The sequence below is a fragment of the Homo sapiens genome, chromosome 4 (genome assembly GCF_000001405.40).
Source record: "Homo sapiens chromosome 4, GRCh38.p14 Primary Assembly".
Lineage (NCBI taxonomy): Eukaryota > Metazoa > Chordata > Mammalia > Primates > Hominidae > Homo > Homo sapiens.
In genome coordinates this window covers 81,790,537-81,815,839 of record NC_000004.12, presented here as the reverse complement: position 1 = coordinate 81,815,839, position 25,303 = coordinate 81,790,537, and the positions used below count along the sequence as shown (strand labels likewise).

Genomic DNA, 25,303 nt, shown 5'->3' with positions numbered 1-25,303 from the left:
CTTTCAAATGTTGGCTTTGACTTGGGTTCCCTTTCCTGTTACTAATGATGTGAGTGTGTAAGTGTGCGGAGAATGTGCCCATGTGGTCCGTTGCCCACTGGATGAAGTTTTCATTTTTACTAGACATCAGTAATGCTTCATTCACATGGACAATTTTCCTTCAGGAAGAGGTAACTAAGAATAGAGAATGTAATGGGCTATTGGAAGACTCAACCTTTTCATCAATGTTGATGAATAGGTCTCTAGGTAATCACAACTCAAGGTAATAATATCAGTGGTTAAGACATTTACTGTCACAGTCCTTTGAAACTATATTGTGTCTGGCTTCCTCTTTTAATGTCTAGATGGTGTTCAGTGACCTCCACAAAGCTGGTTGGGCAGATTCCCATGACTCTCAGCCTCTTGGCAGAATTTTCAGGCTGGTAGGTCACAGGGACTTCTTCCCATGCCCTGAGAAAAGGCATGAAGACAAAGTCAGCCGTGTCAGCGGGAGGAAATTCCTCAGTTCTCCTCTGGTATGACAGAATGCCATGTTCTGGAGCAGTCACAGCAAAGAATATCATTTCCAGCAAATTTAAACACTGTTTACTTCTAAAATAGATTTTTGGAAGCAGTGAACATTCATTTTTGGCAGAGTGCTGTTTTTGCTGACTTGCTGTAGGGCTCTCTGCTGGATACAGGATGTTAGATACACATTGCAAAGTTCCTATCTTTTTTCATATGTGCCAATACAGGCCACTAATTTATGGGAAGGGAAGTTGCATCACTGTTAAGAGAAGGGAGTTGCTATACTCTTCTCCCCTCCCTTCACCCCCGCCACATCCCTCCTTTCCTCCCTCTTCTCCTGTCACTGTTTCTGCAAAGAAAGAGCTCCTAGCAGTGTTTGGGAAAAGGATTTGTGGTTCTGGATTCCATGTCCTCTCCTTTCAGGCCTTATTGCCCGGCTTTGGTTTTTATTGTTGCATTTTTCCATCCTGCTCTCCTGAGAGGCAGTATGGTGTGGGGGTTAAGAACACAGGCTTGAGGGCTTTATTTCTGAGATTCTACCACCCATGAGCTCTACAACTCTAGCCATGTTACTTAGCTTCTTTGTTCCTCACTTGTTTCATCAGTAAAATGAGACAAAGAATGATATTGACCTACAGAATTGTTGTAAGGATTGAATTTCTGTTTGGATCCATGGAAAACTCTTACAACAGTGTCTCAGTGGGTGTTCGTCATTATTATTTCATCCCTGCGCTCACAGAGAATGGTCTGAGCCTTGGTAGCTTTGAGACCAACTTTATCTTTTTGCTCTAACAGAGCAACAATATCAAGGAAAGTACATCAGTAGACTTGGGCCAACATTAGCATTTGGAAAAAACTTGGACTGTAGTTGCACTGGATAAATACCCTCAGATGGTTCTTTAAATCTTAAGATAATTCTTAATAATTGAAATAGACTCAAGTTCAGTTTTGTTATAAGTTCTAGTTCTATAGAAGCAATGCATTTCTTAATAAATGAAGCATAAAACCTTCTAAACAGTACTGTACAATGAATCTACTTTTCTGTATCTCCAACACCTAACACAATTATGAGCACATAGTAGACATTCAATAATGCTTGTTAATTCCTAACTTTGGCATGATATTATTTCTCCAAAGGCCTCCAGAGTAAGGCTTGAGGTAGAAAAGAAAGGAAGGGGAAGAGTCCCCTCTTGGTATGTCTTCATATGCCAGCACCTGGAACATTCACAGGTAGGAAAAAAGTACCTTATTACCTGCTTAGAGGTACAGAATAAAATACAAAATATTCCTCTCCCTCATATAAATATCCATTGCTTTTTCTAAATGTTCATCTCTTTTCACCATTAGCATTATAATATTTTAGAGGAGGTGTCATTTATTAATGTGGTATGGGCTAGGTAGAGTCAATACTGTGGGTGGAGTGTATTTGTGGGCTTTTCTTTGGATTGAAAGGAAGCATTTCAACATATGGATGGTTTGGGCTGATGAATATGAAGTGCTATGGAAATGTGCACTTTTTTGCTTGCAGTGTAGAAGCCATGGAGATAATTGAGTAGAGTGAATACTGGTGAGTTCCTCCGTGTGATAGCATTACATCTCTAGGCTAGGAATTTTTTATTCTTAAGCGTATGATAATGAAATTTTCATATGGAAAGTCACATATACCCAAGGTCAAACCAAGTAGTCATAGTTCATAGGATTAGAATTCATTGTGGAAAATAGTCTCATGGCCAGAAGAAATGCATTGCGTTTTTATGTGTAACACTTACCCTAAGCCAGAATCAAGAAATAAATAATAATCATATTTTGTTAAGGTATAATTTACATTCAGTAAAATGTAGTGATCTTAAGTGTACAGTTTAATGACTTCAATTTTTAAATTTTAGCAATAGAATCACATCAGTAGCATTACCTGGTGCCTTTTGGGGTGTGGGATTTTTTGTGAATTGGCATTACTGCTAACCACACCACTGCCAATGCTGGAGTATACCCATTATTCCTTCCTGGCAGCTGCTATAATTGTCACTGTCACTTCAGAATAAACAGCACATTTAGATACATGGATGTATAATATAGTCATTGTCTGTAGCAGTATCATTGCTAATAAGAAAGGTAGTTAAGGGCAAATGTCATGGAATATGTTGCTCTTATCCTCTTTGAGCTGTAATTATTGTGGCTGCATCTGCCTGAAAACAAGTTTCAAGAATATGACCTTTGTAGTCTCTGGTTCAGGGATATATTGGAAACAGTAATAATTAGCAGTACAACCCCCCCTTCCCCACACATACACCTTAAAAAAGCTATTTTAAGCTACCAATAAAACACAGGTTTTTCTCATAGCAATTCCAGACAGCCAAATAGTTTAAAGGGGGAACAGAAATAAGAGTCTTGCTAATCTTGCAAACTGTGCATGCAAAGGGCATTTAATAATAGTACTTTTTCTTGCATTTTTTTTTGTTGTTGTTGTGAGCAAATGCTGCAAACTACCAAGTTCAGCTGTGTAATCACTAACTTGATTTCACTCATTTCTTTGTTAAGTACTAAAGATATTATGGTGTGCTTTTGGCTGTAAATTGTCTTTCCCTTGTGATTCTAGAGTTTTTCTGCTTGGTTGCTATATTATTGAGCTTCAAGGGCACTGTAGCAACTTTTTCTCCTTCCTTTTACCTATTTTCCTTTCAGATTTTCCAGAATCTTACATAATCAAGACTGGGCAGTAGTTATTAAAGTATGTGCACGTATACACATGCATGCATTTAATTTTACATAATGTATTCTGGAGGGTGAGCTTTCATAGAGATACAGTCATTCCTCAGTATTGGTTGCAGGACCTCTGTAGATATCAAAATTCACTGAGGTTCAAGTTCCACAGTCCACCCTGAGGAAACCATGGCTATGAAAATTGATCTTTAGAATCCAGGGGTTCTACATCCCTCAAATACTGTGTTTTCAATCTACTGTTGATGGAATCTGTGGATGCAGAACCCTTATTTTCTTAGTCTACAGCAAAATGTGCTAGATGTGAAAAGAAGCAGAAAAAAACGTAAAAGATGAGTCAGTATGAGAAATGGAGCAGAGTTCGTGTAAATTAGATCTCTGTAATGGCCGGCAACTCTTTTTCATAAAAGTGGAGTAATCAGAATACTTAATTTACCTCAGTTAAGAGTGATCACTCTGGCTATTGTTGCTCAAAATGGCACCAAATCACTCTACAATTGAGCTAATTGCAACCTCTGATTTAGTGGCTTAGCGCTGTGATTTTTCTTTTATTTACATAAATGATCTGTGGAGCAAAAGCAATCCCTCCTTTTCTCCTCCTGTTTATTGTTTTTCTTTATTATTTTAATTCCACCCTTTGATGATTGCTATAATCTCCTAAATCATTGCTCATGTTAATCACTAGATAGAACAGCTATGTAATGGTGACCTCAGAGCTGTTAGACTAAGCAGCCAGTATGGTGGGTGCACCATGAGACCCAGACTTACCTGCCACGGACTGTGCACCTGGTCCTGTGAATTCTCTTGCAGGCTCAGGTAAGGCAGAGTCAACAGGATGCAGTGTTTCAGGGAGAGGGCTATTTCTGTGTTTACAAAAGGAGTTGTCCAACTCCATAGAGTTGACCTCTGTGGTCATGTCTAGTTCTAAAACTCTATGGTTTCATTACTTGCTATGATGGAAAATAGTGGTGGTGGTAACAGTAGTGCCAGTAATTCCTTTAGCAGGGTGTGTGTGTGAGTGTGTGTGTGTGTGTGTGTGTGTGTGTGTGTTTAAGAGATGGAGTATGTTGCCCAGGCTGGCCTCAGACTCCTTGGCTCAAGCCATCCTCCAGTCTCAGCCTCCTGAGTAGCTGAGTCTACATGCATGTCACCGAGCTGGCTTTCAGTGTATATTTTTTGAGGAGCTACTGTGTTCAAGTACCAGTTCACATCAGTGACTAAAAGAGATAAAAAAAAAATCCTTTCACCTCAGAATATATTCTATTGGCAGGTGAGACATAATATACAAAACACAAATTAATTAATTACATAGTATCTTAGAATGTGAAGAGAAAAAATAGGAGATTTGGAGGCTCTTGGGGAGGCACATGTTACAGTTTTAAATAGGGTGGTCATTGAGAAGGTATCATTTGGTCAAATGGGATGGAGAGCTAGTTACACAGATCTTTGGAGGAAGAGCACTCCAGGCAGTGGGAACAACCAGTGCAAAACACTAAGACCAGAATGTGCCTGGGGCATATACAGAAGAGTAAGGAGGCCAGTGTGGCTGGGTGGATAAAAATAATAAAGGCTAACATTTATTGAAGGTTTATTATGTGTCAGTGACTGTAATAGACTCTTTTTAGGGATTAATATATTTCATACTTGCAACAGCCTTATGAGGCATGTTCTGTTCCCATCTTTATTTTCAGATAATGGAATGGGGGCACAAAGAGGTTAATTAACCTGTTAAAGGTCACTCGGTAGGCAGATGCAGACTGCCCAGATTCAAATCTAGTCTGTCTGACTCCAGAGTTCACGTTATTTTTTTAACCACTTGTAAAGAACACAAGAGGGTAACAAAAGTAGTTTTCACTTATGGTTAATAGCATTCCAAGTCAATATGAGAGCTCTTCATTGCTTATTGATCAACTCATTAGTGAATACTCATTAATTATATTAATATTACTTATTAATTCATTTTGAAATATATGTTATGTGGCAGGAATTGAATCAAACACCGCCTGGGAGAGGTTTGCTCAGGTTAGTCCCTTTTCTTTTTTCTTTTGCTCAGGCAGATTGAAGGAAGTGCCTGGTATTGTGAGATGGGATTTGCTTATTAGAAACCAAATGTCCAACTTTATGGCTGAATCTGGTGAAAGTGGTGAGGGCTGAGATTTTTGCCTATCATGGCATTATTTTATTTTGTTAGGTCGTGCATTTTGCCTGGAGTTTTTTTTTTTTTTTTTTTTGAGACAGTCTCACTCTGTCACCAGGCTGGAGTGCAGGGGCGCGATCTCAGCTTGCTGCAACCTCTGCCTCCTGGGTTCAAGTGATTCTCCTGCCTTAGCCTCCTGACTAGCTTGGATTACAGGTGTGTGTCACCACACCTGGCTAATTTTTTGTATTTTTAGTGACGACATTTCACCATGTTGGCCAGGCTGGTCTCCAAACTCCTGGTCTCAAATGACCCACCCAACTCCCAAAGTGTTGGGATTACAAGTGTAAGCCACCACACCCGGACTGAAAACAATTTTTGAAGAAAAATATACAGTATTTTATAGAGCTCCATGTGTGCCATTTCAATATACTGTCTTACAAAGCTCCCATAGAGACTGGGCCTTTGTTATGGAAAAGCATGCAAAGTATTTAACATATATCACATTTTGCATACTGTTGGTCTTCAAATATTGATAATAAATTGGGTAATGGGCAATTGCAAAGTGTTTTGAGAATATGGGGTTGCTGAAATATGTATAGAAAATGGGCGGGCCCTGTTAGATTAAGTAATGATATTTTAAAAGTGTTATCTGACTCCAGTAAAATGCATTGGCAAAAGTATACTCTGAACTGTATGTGATGTTTCCCGCTTGGGCTATATTTCGTGTTGCCTTTTCTTAATTCTGTCAGTAACAATAACAGTATCAAAAAGGTGGAGGATTTCAGGACATACCCTAAAGTCACAAAAGCATTTTTAATTTTACTATTTTATTTTAAAAGTCTGGGCAGCTAGAGGCATATTTTGTGACATTTTGTAAAGTTGAAGCCTCCAGAGATCCTTAAGTTCTACCCTCATTTTGGACAAGCTCTGAACCTATTACCAAATTCTTATGTAAACTGTTTTTGATAGTTTAAGTTTTATATTTCTACTTAGCTCAAGCAAAGATAAGTGTCAGATTAGGCAAATTTAGTGTGACGCCAGAAGCCTGCTTATATTTATGGAGATTGTAGTTGCTTAAAAACATTAATTTCAAGTATTAACAAAAAGATTTAGCATTTTATCGTTTCACTGTTACTGTGGCTTTGACCACAAAATGTTCATTGTGTTGGGGAAAGAGTCTGCATTTGGCTTTTTAAAATAGATATAACCTATTACAAGGTATTTTTGCAATTACAATTTCTACGTTGTGCATCTCAATAACTTCAATTTATTTTTTCTCTTTTCTTTCTTTTTTGCTTTTTCTTCATTTCTCTATTGAGCTTTTTCTACTCACTCTTTCCTTTCTTCCTTTGTTTTTGATTTAATACATCAAGTAATAAGGTATAAGTTGTTTTCATGTCCCCACCTGACCCCTCACAGATACACCAAATTTATTCAAATCTTCTTTAGGCTCTGGCTGAGAGGATGGTTTGGATTCATCTAGACTTCATAAATTAATTAATTAATACATATTGATGGCCTCTCATGGATTATTTGGAAGATAAAAGACAAATGACTCCCTGTCATAAATGCGCTCATGGTTTACTTTAGGGGAGATGAGGCTACTTGGATCAATGAATCACAATAGGGTAAACTCTATAATAAATGTATAAATAAAATGCTTTGATAGCAGAGAAAAGGTTGTGAATAACCCTCCCTGGGAGAGCCACTAACTTGTTCTACCTGTTTCATTTAAACTCTTACTGGGACACCATCTAAATGCATTCCTGGTTTACTGAATAGGTTTTGGCTGCTTGGTGGACTATTTATATTCTGAGTCAGGGGCTTGAGGGAGGTCTTCTTAAAGACTTGCCTGCCCCATGGAAATGAGTGGAATAAGTCACCAAGTTGCTAATGCTTTAAATATTGTCACAAAAGGTCTTGAGCTCTGTCCTGCTCTGTTTGGGGTTGAGCCTAAATTTAATGCTCTTTTAAAACCACAGACCATGCAGACTGCCTACATATGTTGAAAAAAAAAATAGTGCTGCTGGTGTAGAACTGCAAGATAAGCAGAGAACCCAGTAAATGACTCAGTGGGAGTTTTCCTCAAGGGAAGGATAAAGAAACGAGTGCACTGTTTTTTTGGCAAAGGAAACTGGTGCTTAACATGATTATTGTAACTCTGGGCACTTAGCTTTTCCCACTGGGGAGATCAAAAGTGATAAAGGCAGAGCTGCTCTTCCAAAGCTGAACCTTCATGAGCTCAAGTGTCCAACTGAGATGTCAAAATGGCCAATATCTCTAGCACAGAGAGCCCTTCAATTAATTAGCCCTTTGGGCTGGCAGCTTGCCACAAAAGCACCTGAACAGAGTTGCCTGTGGAAAGAACTGCAGAGGGCCCTTGCCAGCGACCTGCTGCTTCCCCAAATCCTGCCACAAGCATCCACCTGTCTCCATGGGAAAGACAGGTGCCATGTCCTTTTGATGAGGAATCTGTTTCCACTTGGTGTTCTTTGCAAAGATGTTCCTGGCAAAGTATTTTCTTCCATGCAGCCCTAGAGGTGGAAAAAGGATGAAAACGAAAGTACTGTTTTACATTTCTTTTGGAGCGCCATGAAAGTCAGCACCTAGAGCAAGGAGAAGGTGTCTAACAAAGGTGGCACTCCTTGCTGAATCAGCGCCTGTCATTGTGCATTAGCTCTGGAAATCTCAAGATTGTTCAGGTAGGAAGAGATCTTGAGGCTCTCTAGTGTTTTCAAGGTGATCTGGTGTTTTGAGGGAGGTATTCTCTTATTACCTCTTAACGTGATTTGGGACTCAGTTGTTACAAGTGCTGTTGCGAGGTGTCTCAGAGGAAGCATCGTGTAGGTTTGCAAATGTTTTGCATGCCCTCGTTGTGCTTCCATGCAGAAGGAAGCACTGCTTCTGTTGCTGCAAGGGATGCCCTTTGGATGTTGTGCTTTGGTTTACTCAGAAAGGACAGAGAACGTGCTCATCTTCCTTACAGAGTTGTACTGGGAAAGAAGTCACAGGACTGCAACGAGGGCTGTGAAGCTTCTAGTCCTATCCACCCCAGGGCGTCTGGCTTTCTTCCTCTGGCCTTAATCCTGGGCCACTCTTCATCTTGGTGGGCAGATTTCTTTTTATGATCATTTCCTCAGTGATTCTCCTAGCTCTCAAGTATTTTTAAAAATCTTTGAAGCTTCTAAAGAACATGATGATGTACTTTCACACATCAAATGGGGTTATTAGTTATGTATTTACTGGTGAACATAAGTTATGTAATATTTATTAATATTAATATATTATGTAATGTTAATTTTAATATTTAATTGTTACATAATCTATAATATTATTATTTAAAGCACCAGATGATAAAATTTCCAATTCTTCTATAACCACTAGATGACTCTGCAGCCAAACTGCCTGTATAAAATGCTGCCTCCAGCACTTATTAGCTCTGTAATGCTGGGTGAAATTACTAAACCTCTCTGAGCCTTCATCTCTTCATTCTTAAAATGGAGATAATAATAGTATCCACCTCATAGAGTTACTATCCAGTCATGACATCGAACCCAAAGACCAGGACCTTATGAGAGTATCTACATCATTTCTGGATGTAGCTTCTCTGGAGAGGGAGACAGATCTACCTACCCTCTCCATGGCAAATTACCCCGCATACATGCTACATATAATGGTGGAATTACTCCCATCAGAAAGGGGAAATTTAGACATTTGCAGCAGCTGCTGGTTGTACAGTCCTGATACCTGTGCAGGCCAATGACCCTTGATTAGGTCTCACTTCTGTTTCCAGGAGATAATTTCCCAGGCCACTGGTTCTTCCTCTGAGAGGGCTTGCTCTTACTATTCTTCTCCTTGGCCACATGTGAAGATGGCACTGGAGAATATGCCCTTCCTAGGGGAGGAGCTACTTTCCTAGCCTACTCCCTGCTCATTGAACAGCCACAGTCCATTTCATCTTAGGCTCTCTAGCTCTCTCAAAAACTTAGTTGGCTTTCTTCTTTGGTTTCCAGTCAGTTTTATATGTTGATAGGTATACTCATAATTATCTTATTTTAAAAAATTTACATCTCTTTTTTCTTTAAATTAAAGTATAACCTACACTTAGAAAATATACAGCTTTTAAGTATACTAGCTCAATACATTTTGTATATTCCCATGTATTCACCATCCATATCTGATCTAGAACTTTCCAAGTACCGTGGCAGACTCCTTCGTGCCCCCCAGTAAGACAACCACTTTTCGGACCTCTTATCACCATAGATTAATTTTGCCTGCTTTTGAACTTTAAATAAATAGAATCATACCATAATTACTTTTTTGCTTCTGACTTCTTTTGTCCAACATTATGCCTGTGAGAGTCTCTATGGTCTTGCATGTAGCAATGGTTGTTTTTCTTTCCAGGGCTGTTCAGTATTCTTTTGCCAGAGCATACCACAATTATTAATCCATTCAACTGTTGGTATACTTTTTAGTTGCTTCTCATGAGGCTATTGTAAATAACACTACGATGATTATTCTTGTACTTTTCTTTTGGTGGCCACAAGCACACTTTCACTTGGGCATTTGTACAGGAGTGGAATTTCTGGGTCATCTGGCATAGATATTTATGTTTAGCTTTAGTAGAGCCTTTCTAATTTTTTTCCAAAATGGTGTATCACTTCTTTTCATAGCCTGTAAGAGATAAGTACTATAATCTAGAGCTCTGTGAGGTTGCAAGCTCTATACCAATTATAATAAGTTTTGCCCCGTTCTCCACTGTGGTTCATAGAACCCGGATAAAGAATCTTTTTGACCAGAGCCCCTTGTTGGCATGAGCTATTTCCACTTCTAGGATGCTCTCCTCCATTCAGGGAAGGGGAAGGCAAAATCTGCTGAGGGTTCTGTGGGGTGTGTTGGCTTCCTGGTCCTTTTTCTTGGGGGTTTTGATTGAGCTGCACCTCCTCAATGGTTACCAGTACCTCTTGGACTGGATCTGCCCTCAGCTCTTGAAAGACCACCAGCTCCCCTTGCATGCTCTAGACATTATCAGTGAGAGCCTGGGAGTCCCTGTCCTAACTGAACAGTGATTCTAGAACTTCTACAGGAACACTCCTTACAGATAAGCTGCCTGTTTGTTCAGAGACCCCTTGGGAGAAAGCAGGACACTGCATTCCCTCTTCTTTGGAGCTGGCTTCTTCATAAGCTCTAGGGGCCAGCAGCACTGACCTTGTGCCCAGGCAGGGTGACTGGAATTTTACCTCATCCTTTGCCCATTCAAGGATTTCCTTGGGGAAGGAAGCAGTCAGAGTGCCACATCTATCCTCAAGTTTATTCTCATTAAGCACTGGATTGATTGGATTTAGCTCCAAGGTCAAAGTATCTGAGGAATCCTGGCTGGGATTCTGGTCTTCTGTCTGTGCCAAGGGCCTGGGAGTCCCGGGGATGGAGCTAAACAAAGGTAAAGAAGCAGATGGTGCTGGTCTATCAAGTGACTTCTGCTGGACTGTGGTCTGCCTGGAGCTTTTACAAATGCAGCTTTGGTTTTGTGTGATACAGTTGGATTAATCTTACTTAAAGGCAGAAGGGGTGGATAAATGTGTCCAAAGAAATATTGAAGAGTGACCTTTAATTTCTTAAGGCAGCCTGATTGAGAGGAAGGTCAGAACCCAGAATCTTTGTGCTATTAAGCAGGACTACATTTACTCCTTTCATTCACTATTCTTTTATTTGAGTTGAATTCTTCCTGTTAATTTATAAAATAATCAACTATGGAATTTCTGGCTTTATCCAATGTGTTTTACCTGAGTGTCCCAGGTCTCACCGGGCTCTCACAAAAATATCAAGAATATTATATTTTGCCAACTCCTAGCACCCACCTGCTGAAGTAGTCAACTCTGTTCTTGGCCATGTTTCTCACATCATGTATTTCTGGAAGCCTCCAAGAGTTTTTCACATCTACTTCTCAGGTTTCCTCATGGAAATCTGCTAACTAAAATTACCTGAAAGAAGATTGTCACTGCCTTGGCCTTTGGCTTTCTGTGAAAATACTGCTCCCCTGTTGGTCTGGTGGGTGGGTGCGCACCACCACTGCATGGCTGTGCTCTGTAATCCTGCAAAGTGCTGCTGTGCTTCAGTGATGAAATGGGAGAACACGCTGCTCACCAGCTCTACCAAGAACTTGGGCCTTCAGGCCTCAAACCAGCACTGCTTGTGCTCAGAGTTTCACAAACTCCTTCGTGAACACAGTGCTGTCAGTGTCTGTTCTTACCACCCTCCCCAGTGGGTCTCAAGACCTGTTTTCAAATCTAAGAGGAAAGATATTTGCCATAGCATTCCCCACCATTATGCTTGTCTGCTCCTTCCTTGTCCATATTGTTCTTTTCTCCTGAACTCCCTTGCACCAAAATTTATACCCTCTCTTTCATCCAAAAACAGCTTTTAGGTGTCTTGGTTTTTAAATATATATGCTCAGATGGTCAGTGGTCCAGTTTCATAAACAGGGAGCCTGGGAATCCTAATCTTGACTAGCTAGGATGTTCTGATAACCTATCCAAAGTCAGTGCTCACAAGACTTCCAGTTCTAGAAAAGTGTGAGGGTGAATTAAGTAAAATTTTGGTCTTTTTGTTCCTCCAGACACCAATCAGCTGGTAGAGGAAATTCATTCTGTTTTCATTGCTCCTTATCTCTGTAATGTTCATTTCAACAATGTCTGGATCGAAAGGATTGAGAGAGCCAGAGTGTTTATAGATTCTTAACTTGATCTCCATTCATAAAAAAGGAAGCTAGTGCACTTATTGAACAACCCATTCAACATCCTTGAAACCAAGCTTGCTACCTCAGCATTTAAAAAATTGCCTTTTGTCTGCAAACCCCTTCTAGTGGGATCAGCGAATACCAGGCAAATTCATGGCCCAGTCAGGAAAACCTGCCAGTTTGGCTTAATGTTTTATTGCTATTTGTAGCAGAATTTTAAAAATATATATACTTTATGTGAAGGAATAGACAATTCCAGAGAAAAAGACTGAAATCAGATTGATTCTATGAAAATTAGCTACTTGTAACTATGTATGCTCTCTCAAACTAATATTGATTGATCAAGGGAAATCATGTTTGAGTCACCATGATGTAGTAAAAAGATCAAGATCAAGACCTTGGATCTGGTTTCATCATGGACTTGTGTGGTTTGGAGGAAGTATCTTAATTTCAGCATCTATTTTCTTATGTGGCAAATGATTGTAATAGCATTTAGGCTCAATATACAGTTTTTTGTGAGGGTTACCTGTATATCTGCTGGAGGGGCACTAATGTGGTTGCCTCCAGTGAGGGTGGGGAAGAGGAGAAAAAGGAGGAGGCAGAAAGAAGACTTTCTGTGAGATCTATGGGAGGACAGGAGGGGAAGATTTAAAAAGTTGTTACGGTTTTGTGAAGGGAAGAACAGGGCAGAAAGAGCCAATTGGGGAAAATTTGTTGTGATGTTTCATCCCTTTCTAATGAGAGAAGCTGAGGCAGTGCCCCTCTTCACGAATTACACTATGATAAACCCTATATACTGCTAACTATTCAAGAGCAGGAATGGCAATACTCTTATTTCTGTCTTCCCAGCATACTCAGACCAGACCCTGGAACGGAGCAGGTTTTTGATGAATGCCTGTTGAATGATGAATAAACGGATGAAGGGAACCAAGGTATAACATAATCACATGAGGATACAAAGCAATCTCTAGATGAATGATTGCTGAATGAATAAGTGAATGCACAATTTTTATCTGACGATTGTGTAATTTAGGTTAATTTGAAGACTGTAGGGCACACAAATAGGAGGGTACAAAATACAAAGTGCAAAACACTGGTGAAACAGCACGCAGACTGTTTTGAACCCCTGCTGCTACTGCAGCTGCAAGGGTTGGTTAGGAATTTGTTCGTGTGATAAACAAAAGGACTATGTACATACAGTTTTGGGACTTCCAAGTAATAAGGGTATCGTTTGCACTTTCAGTCTGAAGATTTGTCCTCCAATAATGAGGCAATGGGAAAAACCCCTGTTGCTGCCATACAATGTTATACAAAATGTGCATTGGAAAAGAAGAGCAGCCCCTGTAAAATTGGGTGAATGTGTGGAAATGCTCACAGCTGTGTTAATAAAGTATTTAAAAGTCTGACCTTGAAGCATTTGCCAAAAATTTACATGCTAAAGAACTGTAAACCCACTAGAGCCTCCTTTGCACGCTGTCAACACTCTGCTTACGTTTATTGCATGCATGAGCTAATCAAGGGAAATTGGATCAGGACTTTTAGAACCTTCTATTCTTCTGTTTTGTTTACCAAAACACTAGCTTCTAGAGAGATTGGAAAAATAATGGGTCATCTAGATGGAAGAAGATGTGGTATTTAAAGAAATTTATTCACAGATAGGTTTAGGACTTGGCAAGGGAGAATGAGGTTATCTGTAGGCCTATATTTTTCATTTCAGAACAAAGAACTGTATCTGGCATAGGAAACAGCCAAAGATAAGCAGGATATAAAAAATGAGTCTGAAAATTATTTGAGAAAGAATATTCTGTCATGAAATGTGCTTTAGGGGTAAAGAAGGAGAATAGTTGAATTTCTTGAATCACCTGTGGGGGAGGATACTTTTATGCAAAAAAGCTTGCCACCGTAAGGTAGACAAATACCAAAAGCTTAGCTAGCTTTAGGAGCTTAGAGTAAAGGGGAAAGAGGAGCAATAATACTGGTAGTGCCAAGCCACTTGAATTAGCTGAGATCTCTTACTGCTCTGTGTCTTCCAACATGTTGTTCCTTCTACCTTTCCCTCCAACTTTGCCAGGAAGTGCTTCAGCAGGCCCCTATCACATGTTACCTTGGCAGCAGAGACTTCCACCACTCTCCAAACTGCTTTCTGTCCTTTGTTTCCCAGAACAATTGGACATGTATTTTGTTTCTGCAGCACTCATTCACCTAAACTTCATGAGCACCTGTCATGTGCCAAGCACTGTGAACACAAAAACGTGTAAGACAAAATTGCTGTCTGCAAGAGGCTCACAGTCCAGTAAAGGAAGTAACATTTGCAGCAAAAAAACTACCCAAAGGGTATGGAAGATGTGCTGTGGAGGGTGACTTGGTGGGGAGAGGAAATACCATTTCACATGGAGAGAACAGCTCAGGTAAGCCTGGGGAGACTTGAGATGCCTGTGGTTGCATTTCTGGCATCACCGGTATTTCAATGGGTAACTGTCAACCTCATTTTCAGTTCTTGGAATTAAACTGATTCATCTGTCATATAAACCAGGGGTCCCCCAACCCCCAGGCCATGGATCGGTATTGGTCCGTGGCCTGTTAGGAACCAGGCCACATGGTAAGAGATGAGCAGTGGGTGAGTGAATGAAGCTTCATCTGTATTTACAGCTAATCCTCACTCGGATTACCACATGAGCTCTACCTCCTGTCACATCAGTGGCAGCATTAGATTCCTATAGGAGCACAAACCTTATTGTGAACTGTGCATGTGAAGGATTTAGGTTGTGAGCTCCTTATGACAATCTAATGCCTGATGATCTGAGATGGAGCTGAGGTGGTGATGCTAGCACTGGGGAGTGGCTGCAAGTACAGATTAACATTAGCTGAGAGGTTTGACTGTACAGAGACCATCATAAATCAAGTGCTTGCAAACTCATATCAAAACCCTATCAGTGAGTGGCAAGTGACAAGCTGGTGGCAGGCTTTATAGTGGCACGCAGGATGATGTGTTTCAATTGTACAGCTGCGTCTGGTGGCCTTAAAAGTATGTTTGAGACAGCTTCAAATCTCCATACATTCTGAATTCAAGTCAAGATGGGATATTCTGAGATCACCACAAAAGTACTGGAAAGCCTGCTTCTATTTCCAACAACCTATCTTTGTGAAGCAGGGTTTTCTGCAGTGACAGCAACCAGAACGAGATTACGGAGTAGACTGGACATAAGCAACATACTTCGGGTGTCACTGTCTCCCATCACCTCCAGATGGGACCATCTAGTTGCAGGAAAACAAGCCCAGGGCTCTCATTGATTCTACACCATGTTGAGTTGCATAACTGTTTCATTATATATTACAATACAAAAATAATAGAAATAAAGTGCATTATAAATGTAATGCACTTGAATCATCCTGAAACCATTCCTCCCCACACCCTGGTCCGTGGAAAAATTGTCTTCCACGAAACTGGTCCCTGGTGCCAAAAAGGTTGGGGACCATTGATATAAACCATACATGCTGGATGGCATTAAAGAAAATCATGTGGAACCCTGGCCAACCCTATCCCAACTCACTTCTGTTTGACCCAGACCCATTTGGTTTACTGATTGCTCTTATCTTCCAGATTTAAATTCCTGACTCTGTATCCCCTAAGATAGATGTCCGCCTCTGAGGCGTCTCTTGGATCATCAACACTTCCTGACTGTCCTTTCCTCTGCTGCTGCTGCTGGCTTGGCTTTCTCTTCAGGCCCTGGCCTCTTCCAGGTGAACTCATTCCCCTTTAGGCCCTAACATGACAGGTGGCTACCCTTGCCTGGTTCCTCAGGTGGTATCACAATCCTCCTAAGAGATTGGGCTTTCCATCACCCACTTGGATGGAGCTGCTGCCACTGTCTTTTATGGCCTGCACCTGGGAAACACAGGCCTGGGTGAGAACACAGACTTAGGCACACAGCAGCAGATAGCTCTGCTGATGGCCACGGAGGCTGGAGAGGTCAAGTAAGGAGGCAGAATGGTATGTGTTTCTACTCCTGAGGTTAGAAGCTAAGGCAACAGTAAGTCCTTATTGTGCCTCAGAAACACCTGAGGAAATTTAATAAACTGGAGATTCCTGAGCTTACATCTTCTCGCTGAGATTCTGATTCATTTGTTCTGGCATGTGGTTTGGGCAGTGGCAAATTTGAGAGCTCTTTGGAGGATTCTTACCTGCAGGCAGAGTTAAGAACCAGTGAATTAAGGGAGTGAGTGGTTTCCCATGCCTAAGTGTATTTTCTGATGCAATGGCCCTGGTTAAGTGGACCCAGCATGCTACCAACCTGATCTCCTCCATGGCTTGGGTACTGCCTCCAGGTCCCCACTGCTAGGTGATCTGGAAAGCTGTGGCACCTCCCTCATTGATCTTTGTTTGACACCACCTCTAATGTGGCCTCAGTGTTGTCACTCTCTGGGATTCTTTGAACTAGACTCGCATCTCTTAGGTCTGCTCCTTAGAAAGCTTGAGTCATGAAGTTGTCTCTCTAAAACCAGCTCATCTGGGCTTCACAGACTGAAAACTTGAAGTCATGTGTTTGGTTCACAATACCCGGAGGAATATTGACTAAATACACATCCTAATACACATATCCATCCTTACTTAAACTCTCAAGAAAAATATAGGGTCTGTCATTGTATCTGGTAGGATTCGTGCATACGTGGTTAGGAAGAACTTCCCAGATGATTCTAATAGGTCAGACTCTGATTGAGATCCTCTGCTAAATGATCTGAATTTTACCTGGAAGACATCAATAAATATTTGGACTTCTGACCTGTATTTGTTCTATGATAGAAACTGCTAGGCTATCTGCCTACCAAACTTTTTCATCCTTTTTTCCCTAGTAATAGAGTGTGCTGGGCACATGTCTACCTAGACAGGAGTTAAATTTCCCACTCCTCCTGTAGTTAGTTGTGGTTCAAGAGACTGAGGTTTCACTAATAAAAAGTAGAAGTGATGTTTACTGCTTCTGGGCTGGGGCTCTTAGGATAGTGAACAGCCTTCTCCATGGCCTCTCTGTACCCTTCCTGCTAGCTGACCAGGGCAGCTTTGGAAGCCACATGTTGAAGCTGGCAGAACCATTGTCAGCCCAAGGCTCTGAAAGCACAAATGAAGCAGAGCTGACAGCCAACCTGAAACACTCACCCCAGACTGGTACACGAGAGGAAAATGAGCTTCTGTTCCTAAGTTATATACAATTTTTGCCTGATCTTGTCTTACCTTGATTGTTTTGATTGAAATTCATGCTGCCAACAATGCAGTGGCAACATTTTTGTCCCCAAAGCAAATAGTTCCAGGTTATGTTAACTTTCCCAAAGGTTGGAAACACTACCTAGGAGAGGTCTATCAAATATGACTATTCCAGGATATAAATAGAGCATGGAGCAGACAGGTGGCTTGACTAAGCTGGGCCAGTAGGGCTTCAGTCTTCCAGCATGGCACTTTACATCCACTCTCTATCTGACACCTGAATGGTCAACTGCCTTTTCTTATAAACCAGAATATCAGGGAGTGTCAGAAGTTTCAAACTCTGAAAGATGCACTGAAGATCAAAGATGTAACTTATGTCTTTGAATTCATTTAGCAGCTGCCAAATCTGCCATTAAGCAGACTTTAAAATCATATATTTATTGTGTGCAACATGATGTATTGAAGTATATATACATTGAGGAATAGTTAAATCTAGGTAATTAACAAATGCATTACCTCACATACTACTACCTCTGCTTTTTTTTTCAAGAATCCAATATATCATCATTAATCATCACCATGCTTTACAGTACATCTCTTGAACTTATTCTTCCTATCTAACTGTAATTATATGTCCCTTGACCAACATCTCCCCATTCCCCCTCTCCCTAAGTACCCTGGCCTCTGATAACCACCATTTTGCTCTCCACTTCCATGAGACCAACTTTTTCAGATTCCACATATGAGTGAGATCATGCAGTGTTTGTCTTTCTGTGTCTGGCTTAGTTCACTTACCATAATGTCCTCCAGTTCATCCATGTTGTTGAAAATGATAGGATTTTGTTCTTTATTATGGTGGAGTCATATTCTATATATGTGTATATATACCACATTTTCATTATCCATTCATCTGTTGATGGACACTTAGGTTGATTCCATATTTTGGTTATTGTGAATAGTGCTACAATAAACATGGGAGTGCAGCTGTCTCTTCAGCATACTGATTTCATTCATTTCCTTTGGATGTATACCCAGTAGTGGGATTGCTGGATCTTATGGTAGTTCTATTTTTAATATTTTGAGGAACCTCCATATTGTTTTCTGTAATGGCTGCACTAATTTACATTCCCACCAACAGTGTGCAAGAGTTCCCTTTTCTCCACATCCTCACCAACACTTGTTATCTTTGTCTTTCTTATAATAGCCATTCTAACAGGAGTGAGATAATATCTCATTGTGGTTTAGATTTGCATTTCCCTGATGATTAGTGATGTTGAGCAGTTTTTTTCAGAAACTTATTGACTGTTTGTATGTCTTCTTTTGAGAAATACTTGTTGGGATCTTTTGCACATTTTTAAATTGGGTTGTTTTCTTCTTATTGAGTTGAGTTCCTTATATATTTCCATATTAATCCCTTATCAGATGTATGGTTTACAAATACTTTCTTTCATTCTGTAGGCTGTCTCTTCACTCTCTTGATTGTTTCCTTTGCTGTGCAGAAGCTTTTTAGTTTGACGTAATCCCATTTGTCTACTTTTGCTTTTGTTTTCTGTGCTTTTGGGGTTATAGCCCAGACCAGTCTTGTTTCCCCTGTATTTTCTTCTAGTAGCTTCATGGTTTCAGTTCTTATGTTTAAGTCTTTAATCTATTTTAAGTTGATTTTTGTATATGATGAGAAATGAGGGTCTACTTTCATTTTCCTGCCTGTGGATATCTAGTTTTCCCAATATTGTTTATTGAAGAGACAGTCCTTTTTCCCATTGTATTTTCTTGGTGTCTGTTGAAATCAGTTGACTATAAATGCATGGATTTACTTCTGGAATCTCTATTCTGTTCCCTTGGTGTATGTGTTGCTTTTTATAGCAGATTTTTGTTTTTGGAGGAAATCAGGTAGATTTCCCAGCAGCCAGAAGATGCTGAGAACTTGCTGAAATTCAGACTTACCCAAGAATGGCCCCCAAAAGATATTAAATAAAGAGATGGGAGGATCTTTTTTAATGAATTATCTGTCATTTAGTTATTTCTGTATATGAGCAGGTAACTCAAATACTACAGCTCTGCCTTATTGCCATATTACTACTGGCTGACCTTTAATAACCATTCAAGACCCTGAACATGATTATACAGACTTCTGGTAGCCTGATTAATAATAAGACCCATTCCTACACACACCAGTCATTGGAACAAATGTGCATGGACCAGATACATCCAAAATTCCAAAGTGGAGAATAGATTTTCTCCTAATCCACAAGGACTGATAGATTGCCATTATGATGGATTTCACCATGAACCTGCCTCCCTCCCACAGCTACAATGGGTCTGCCCTTACTAAGATGGTAGAACACAGAGAAGCACATAATAGTTACAGAGTTTTCATACTCTGTTCATTAGGGAGATTCCTCCCTATACAATTAATGCTTGAACTCTGATTCCAGGTATCAATTTATATGATGAATCTAGAAGGCACAGTTCAAAATCTTGTGTGTCCAGAATCATCCATCCTGGGATCCTAATCTTCATGCTGATTGTCCAATGTAACATGTTAGTAGAATCCTGGCCCCTTCTACATATAACCTGCCATTCCATGTATCTCAACACTGTTAAACCTAACATATAATGATTTAAAACCCTCCTCAATACAGAAAATCCTACAGCTTCTTTCTCTATTTTTTATTGCACCTCCAAATACTACAACTTCAATATCTGGCAGGTACCTGGAAAAACTGCCAGTTATTCAAGAAGATTTGTAAGATACCCTTTTTATGTCAAGAGGCAATTTGGTGCTAATTCTTATAGACCTGGTCATCAGGAAAGCAGTCTGAATGGAAGAAACCTTATTTTCCAAGCACGAATATAGAATCTTTCCTATAAAAGGATCTGGGGACCACTCTTTTGAACTATTTTAAAACAAGCAAACAAAAATGATGGCATTCCATTTCTAATATCCTGTGCTTGTAGGCTCACCCTGGCTTTCACTGCTCCCCATCACAACTGCCCCTCAGAAATTCTGCCCTCACATCCATTCTCAGCCTAGTCATCACAGCCTTAGGCAGACAGAGAGTATATAGGAGTGGACTTTACCATCCCAGAGGACAATAATCCTTTTCAACACCTGATTCAAGGGAAAGGTATGGGCCTCAGCCTACCTCTCACCTGGACAATTCCTTGGCCATGCTAGTGTATACCATCTGATAAATCCAGAATGGCCTTGAGACCCACTGAACAGGGAAGGATTACAGGAGAAGGCCATGCACCAACCTTCACCTTATTCTAGCCTTTTTAAATGTAGACAACTGTGAACACAAGCTGCAAAGGCTAGCTGATAGAGTTCAGGGATTTCACGAGCACTCTACGCTTTGATTCTGACCCACTTGCCTTCACTCGGTCTCCAAAATCTGGCTCATACTTGATTTCAATAACCACCTGCACCCACTTCCAAATTTGGTCATGTTTTCTACCTCTCCCACTAGGCTTTCAGATTTTATTTTCCTTTAAGCCTTCTGGCCTAGCTCACCCACCCCACTGCCCACCTGTACCTGAACATGCACATGTATACACAGAGACATAGGGCAATGGAAGTATGATGTAAGATGAGGCACAAGTAGTAGTCGAAGACCAGAGGATGAATGACCTCCTAAGTAGTTTGGATTCCATCCTTCAGACTGAAGATTCACTGAAGAATTTTAAGCAGGAGAATGACATTTTAAAAAGATCTTTTCTCTAATAAATGCAGCATGCAAGATATTTAGAACTGGTTACCACTAAAAGCAAGATGCTACTGTGTTAGCTGAAGCCAGAACTAAACGCATGCTTTGTAACTTAGTTGTTCCTAGGCCTTTCCTTACTCTTAGCTCTTTAAATAACAAGAAACTTTTTATCTACCTCTGTGTTCTGTCTGTCATATAATGGTTACTTGATCAACATTTTTAAAACTAAGCCAAGCAAGCAAGCTTGATCTGCACAATCAATGTAAATTGGAAATATTAGAAGAGGCAGCAAAAGGGAACCAAGGAAGAGAGAGGGGAAATATAATAATAGAAAAGTAGGTTTTTACCTAGAACATGGGGAGATGGGAGTGGATAAAACATGTTCTTAGGAAAGAATATATGTGCAAGTTACAGTAGGCACATATCACACAAAAATAATAAAGTATGTGGCTTTTCTAGAATGTAAGGGAAAAACAAGAATAAATTGTGGAAGACTAAGAGTGCAGTTTATGTGGCTGGAAAGAAGATGACATGGTTTGGATATTTGTTCCTGCCCAAATCTCATGTTGAATTGTAATCCCCAGTGTTGGAGGTGGGGTCTGGTGGGAGGTGGTCAGTCATGGGAGTAGATACCTCATGGCTTGGTACTAAACTCGTGATAGTGAGTTCTCACGAAATCTGCTTGTTTATAAGTGTGTGGCAATTTCCTGTCACCTCCCCCCCCCTTGCCTTGTGATGTGCCTGCTCCCCCTTCACCTTCCACCATGATTGTAAGATTCCTGAGGCCCTCACCAGAAGTGGATGCTGGCACCCTGCTTCTTGGACTGTCTGCAGAACCATCAGCCAATTAAACCTCTTTTCATTGTAAATTACTCAGCCTCAGGTATTTCTTTATGGCAATGCAAGAATGGCCTAATACAGAAGAGAAACTTGATGTAATTTTAGTTCCAACAATGAAACCAGATACAAAGTGGAAACCCATTGTTGATGAAGGAGGAAAGGAGAGCTGTTCATAGGTAAGATTTCTCTTGCATGGAATCTGAGTTGGAAGATGTTCATAAAAAATAAATTGTGAATGCACATCCTCCTCAAAAGATATGTGGAATGGAAAAATTATTTAAGGACATACATCTTTCTGTACTGTAAGAATGACAGTTTGAGGGAAGAATTTATATCTTGAGAAAAAACGGTGGAGCCCACAGCAACCGATATCTGATACATGAAGCCAGCTACTTGGAATAAATCAGCCAGAAGATGAGATTGAAGCACAACATTCGAATCAAATTTACAACATGGATATAAAATGACGAAGCTGGTAAATGGCATTAACAATAGTTACGTGCCACAAAAATGACAATAGATGTGAAATGTAAAGTGAATAAAATACCCCTTAAAAGTTCAGCTACAGCAACAACTGAGTGTTCTAGCTTTCTTGCAATAAATCTCTTAATCTGTGTCTCCTACTGGTTCTGCTTTCTTTGGGTGAACCCTGACCGATACACAGATTAACAGTTGGCTATACATAGAATCAAGCCTTGTATTGGCTGCTCCATTCATTATACAGTCGTGGGTCTGGCTAGTCAATTCTGAAATCCATAGGTCAGGCTGTCCAGAAAGGAAAGCTAGAACTCTCATGCTTGGGCTGAAGCTGCTACCCACAGTGGGAATCTCTTCTTTTTTTCAGTCCTGCTCTTAACGACTTTCAGCAGATTGAATCAGTACCACCCAGATCATCTAGGAAAATCTCTGTTAAAGTCAACTGATTATGGCCTTTAATCACAACTACAAAATACCTTCACAGCAACAACTAGATTAATGTTTAATTGAATGACTGGGACTGTAGCCTCGCCAGATTGACACATCAAAAGATCATCATACTGTCTTAAGAAAACTTGATAAGAATAGGATGTTAAATGAAAAAGGATATAATTATAGAAGCTCAGTCAGAGAGCATGCTAGTCATTTATTCTGATAGAAAAGAAAGGGAGAACACATTTAAAATATAGGACTGGACTATCAGAAATGTTAGATGGAGCAAAGCCATTTGTTCATTCACTTACTCATACACTTGTCCATTCATCAAACATTTGTTTCTAGTCAATGTATGAGATAGTAAGAGTATAGCAATTAAGGCACAGCCTTTTCCAGTAAGTAGCTTCCAGCCTGGTGGGAGAGATAAGAGAATTAAAAATACATACTAACTTGTGTGTTTTAGAATACAATATCATAGAAGCATATATACTGTGGGAACAGTAAGGAAGAGCCATGATGATGGTAGAAAAATGGTAAGGAACCATTTATTAAAGGTATAGAAATAGATGACGGACCAATAAGAATTTTCAGCATGTATGAGAAGATTAACAAAGACAATGAGAATAAAAATAAAGTTTAAAAGTAGGCAAACATGGGAGGGTAACCTTGTTTCCTCTTATATATTCATGATGGGTGGCTCCCCCCAAGAATATATGTGATCCCACCAACAGTAATGAATATTCTTTTATGGCCTGTAAAAAATAGCACAGTCTCAGAGGGCAACTGTGCATCTACTAGGCTAAAGGAAAAAGAACATGCTGTATAGAATTTATTCACACTTCGGGGTTACTGTATTTCAGCTTTAAGAAGCCAGAAGATGATAATGATGGGTTGTGTATGTGGTTAACTGAAATACCAGATGCCTGAGTTGGCTCAAAAGGCTCCACTGAGAAGAAATAATTTTTTATTATAAATTTATCTGTCCAAAAAGGCACCAGGTTATGTTTTCTTCTTCTTTTCCCCTTTGCCTTCCAGAATAGATGGATCACCATTGTATCAACTTGGACTCTTGGTTGTAATAAACAGAAATCAATTCAAACTGGCTGAACAAAAAATAACTTATTTGTAAGAATGCACGAATGAATCATAGGCCCAAAGGCAGGAAGGTAGGCAGACCTCAGAAAGGAGCTAGGCCTAGACACTGGGATTTTCATCATCTCTCTCCTTTTCTCCTTTCTGCCCAATAGCTTCATTCTCTTTGGGACCAGCTTTCTTTGCTCACCAATATGCCCGGTGGAATATCTGCTGCACTGTGGAATGTTGGTCCCAGAGTTAAAATTATTGCTGCAGCCACACAGAGAGACCATCCCAGTTTCAAGTCTGATTGCCTGGTTTAAATCAAGTGTCTTCCCTATTCACTTGGCTATGGCCCCGGGCTGGGCGTAGAAGGCTTTGAGGTCCACAGTGGGAGAGATGGGTCATGGGCTAGTTAGAGCGCTCCAGGGAAGCGCACAGAAAGAGAAAGGGGATGTGGAGCTTATCATAAACCTGTAACCGCACATGTGAAATTCTCAATTGCCACCCTTTTTTCCCTAACCTGTGGAGTGGGTCTTATTTTCACAACCCTAGAATATTATGATGCCTGAGATCCACAGTGAAATGTTCAATAAAAAACAGGCAGTATGCTTCACTGGTTTTTCCACTTTAGTAAAACCACCCAACATCTTGGGAGGCTGAGGCAGGAGGATCACTTGAACCCAGCAGTTTGAAACCAGCCTGGGCAACATAGCAAGACCTCGTCTCTACTAAACATAAAAAATAAAAAATAAGGCATGGTGTCTTGTACCTGTAGTCCCAGAAACTCAGGAGGCTGGGGTGAAAGGATTGCTTGAGCTCAGGAGGTCAGGGCTGCAGTGAGCTGTGACTGTGCCACTGCACTCCAGCCTGGGTGACAGAGTGAGACCCCTGTCTCTAAAAACAATTCCAAAAAAAACCCCAAACCAGTCAACCAAACAAAAACCATAATAACACATTGAATTAAGCATCCACCTTTTCCTCTTTCACTTCAGTCTGCCTACGCCAGAAATTAAAAAAAAAAGACAGTAGATTATTACATGTTCATTTAGTCCTTCTATGTGCTCAGCTCTGTGGAAATCAATATCAAGGAAACAAAGGAAGCATAAGAAATAGATCTGGAGAAAAAGGGCTTGTTATTTATTGGAAGAATAAAATGCCGGATTGAGGATAAGACTATACCAGGTTAATTTTTAAATACAACCTATCAGCATGATACATATAATATCACAAAGTTCTTGATGAGTGAAATACTTGGGGTGCTGTTCTCTCTTGGGCCTCATGTGCACCTGCTGAGTCAGTCTTCCAGATGCAGAGAGGGGATAAGGTTCACCCTATATAACTCTCCTCCTTCCCCAGAGAGATAGGAGAAAGGCCAGTGAGATTGGGGCAGAAACCCTAAGAAACGCCTGGCTGGGAAGAAGGTGGATATGGTTTTTGAAATCAAATTTATTATACTTCTTTCTCCATTA

General features: G+C 40.3%; 2 annotated features.

The window, feature by feature from the left end:
* Nucleotides 7,310-7,604: an enhancer, noted in NCBI's record as "tiled region #4670; K562 Activating DNase matched - State 5:Enh". NCBI's record gives its function as "activates a minimal TATA promoter and a strong SV40 promoter by Sharpr-MPRA in K562 cells {active_cell/tissue: K562}" and the evidence as "EXISTENCE:reporter gene assay evidence [ECO:0000049][PMID:27701403]".
* Nucleotides 7,310-7,604: a silencer, noted in NCBI's record as "tiled region #4670; HepG2 Repressive non-DNase unmatched - State 24:Quies". NCBI's record gives its function as "represses a minimal TATA promoter and a strong SV40 promoter by Sharpr-MPRA in HepG2 cells {active_cell/tissue: HepG2}" and the evidence as "EXISTENCE:reporter gene assay evidence [ECO:0000049][PMID:27701403]".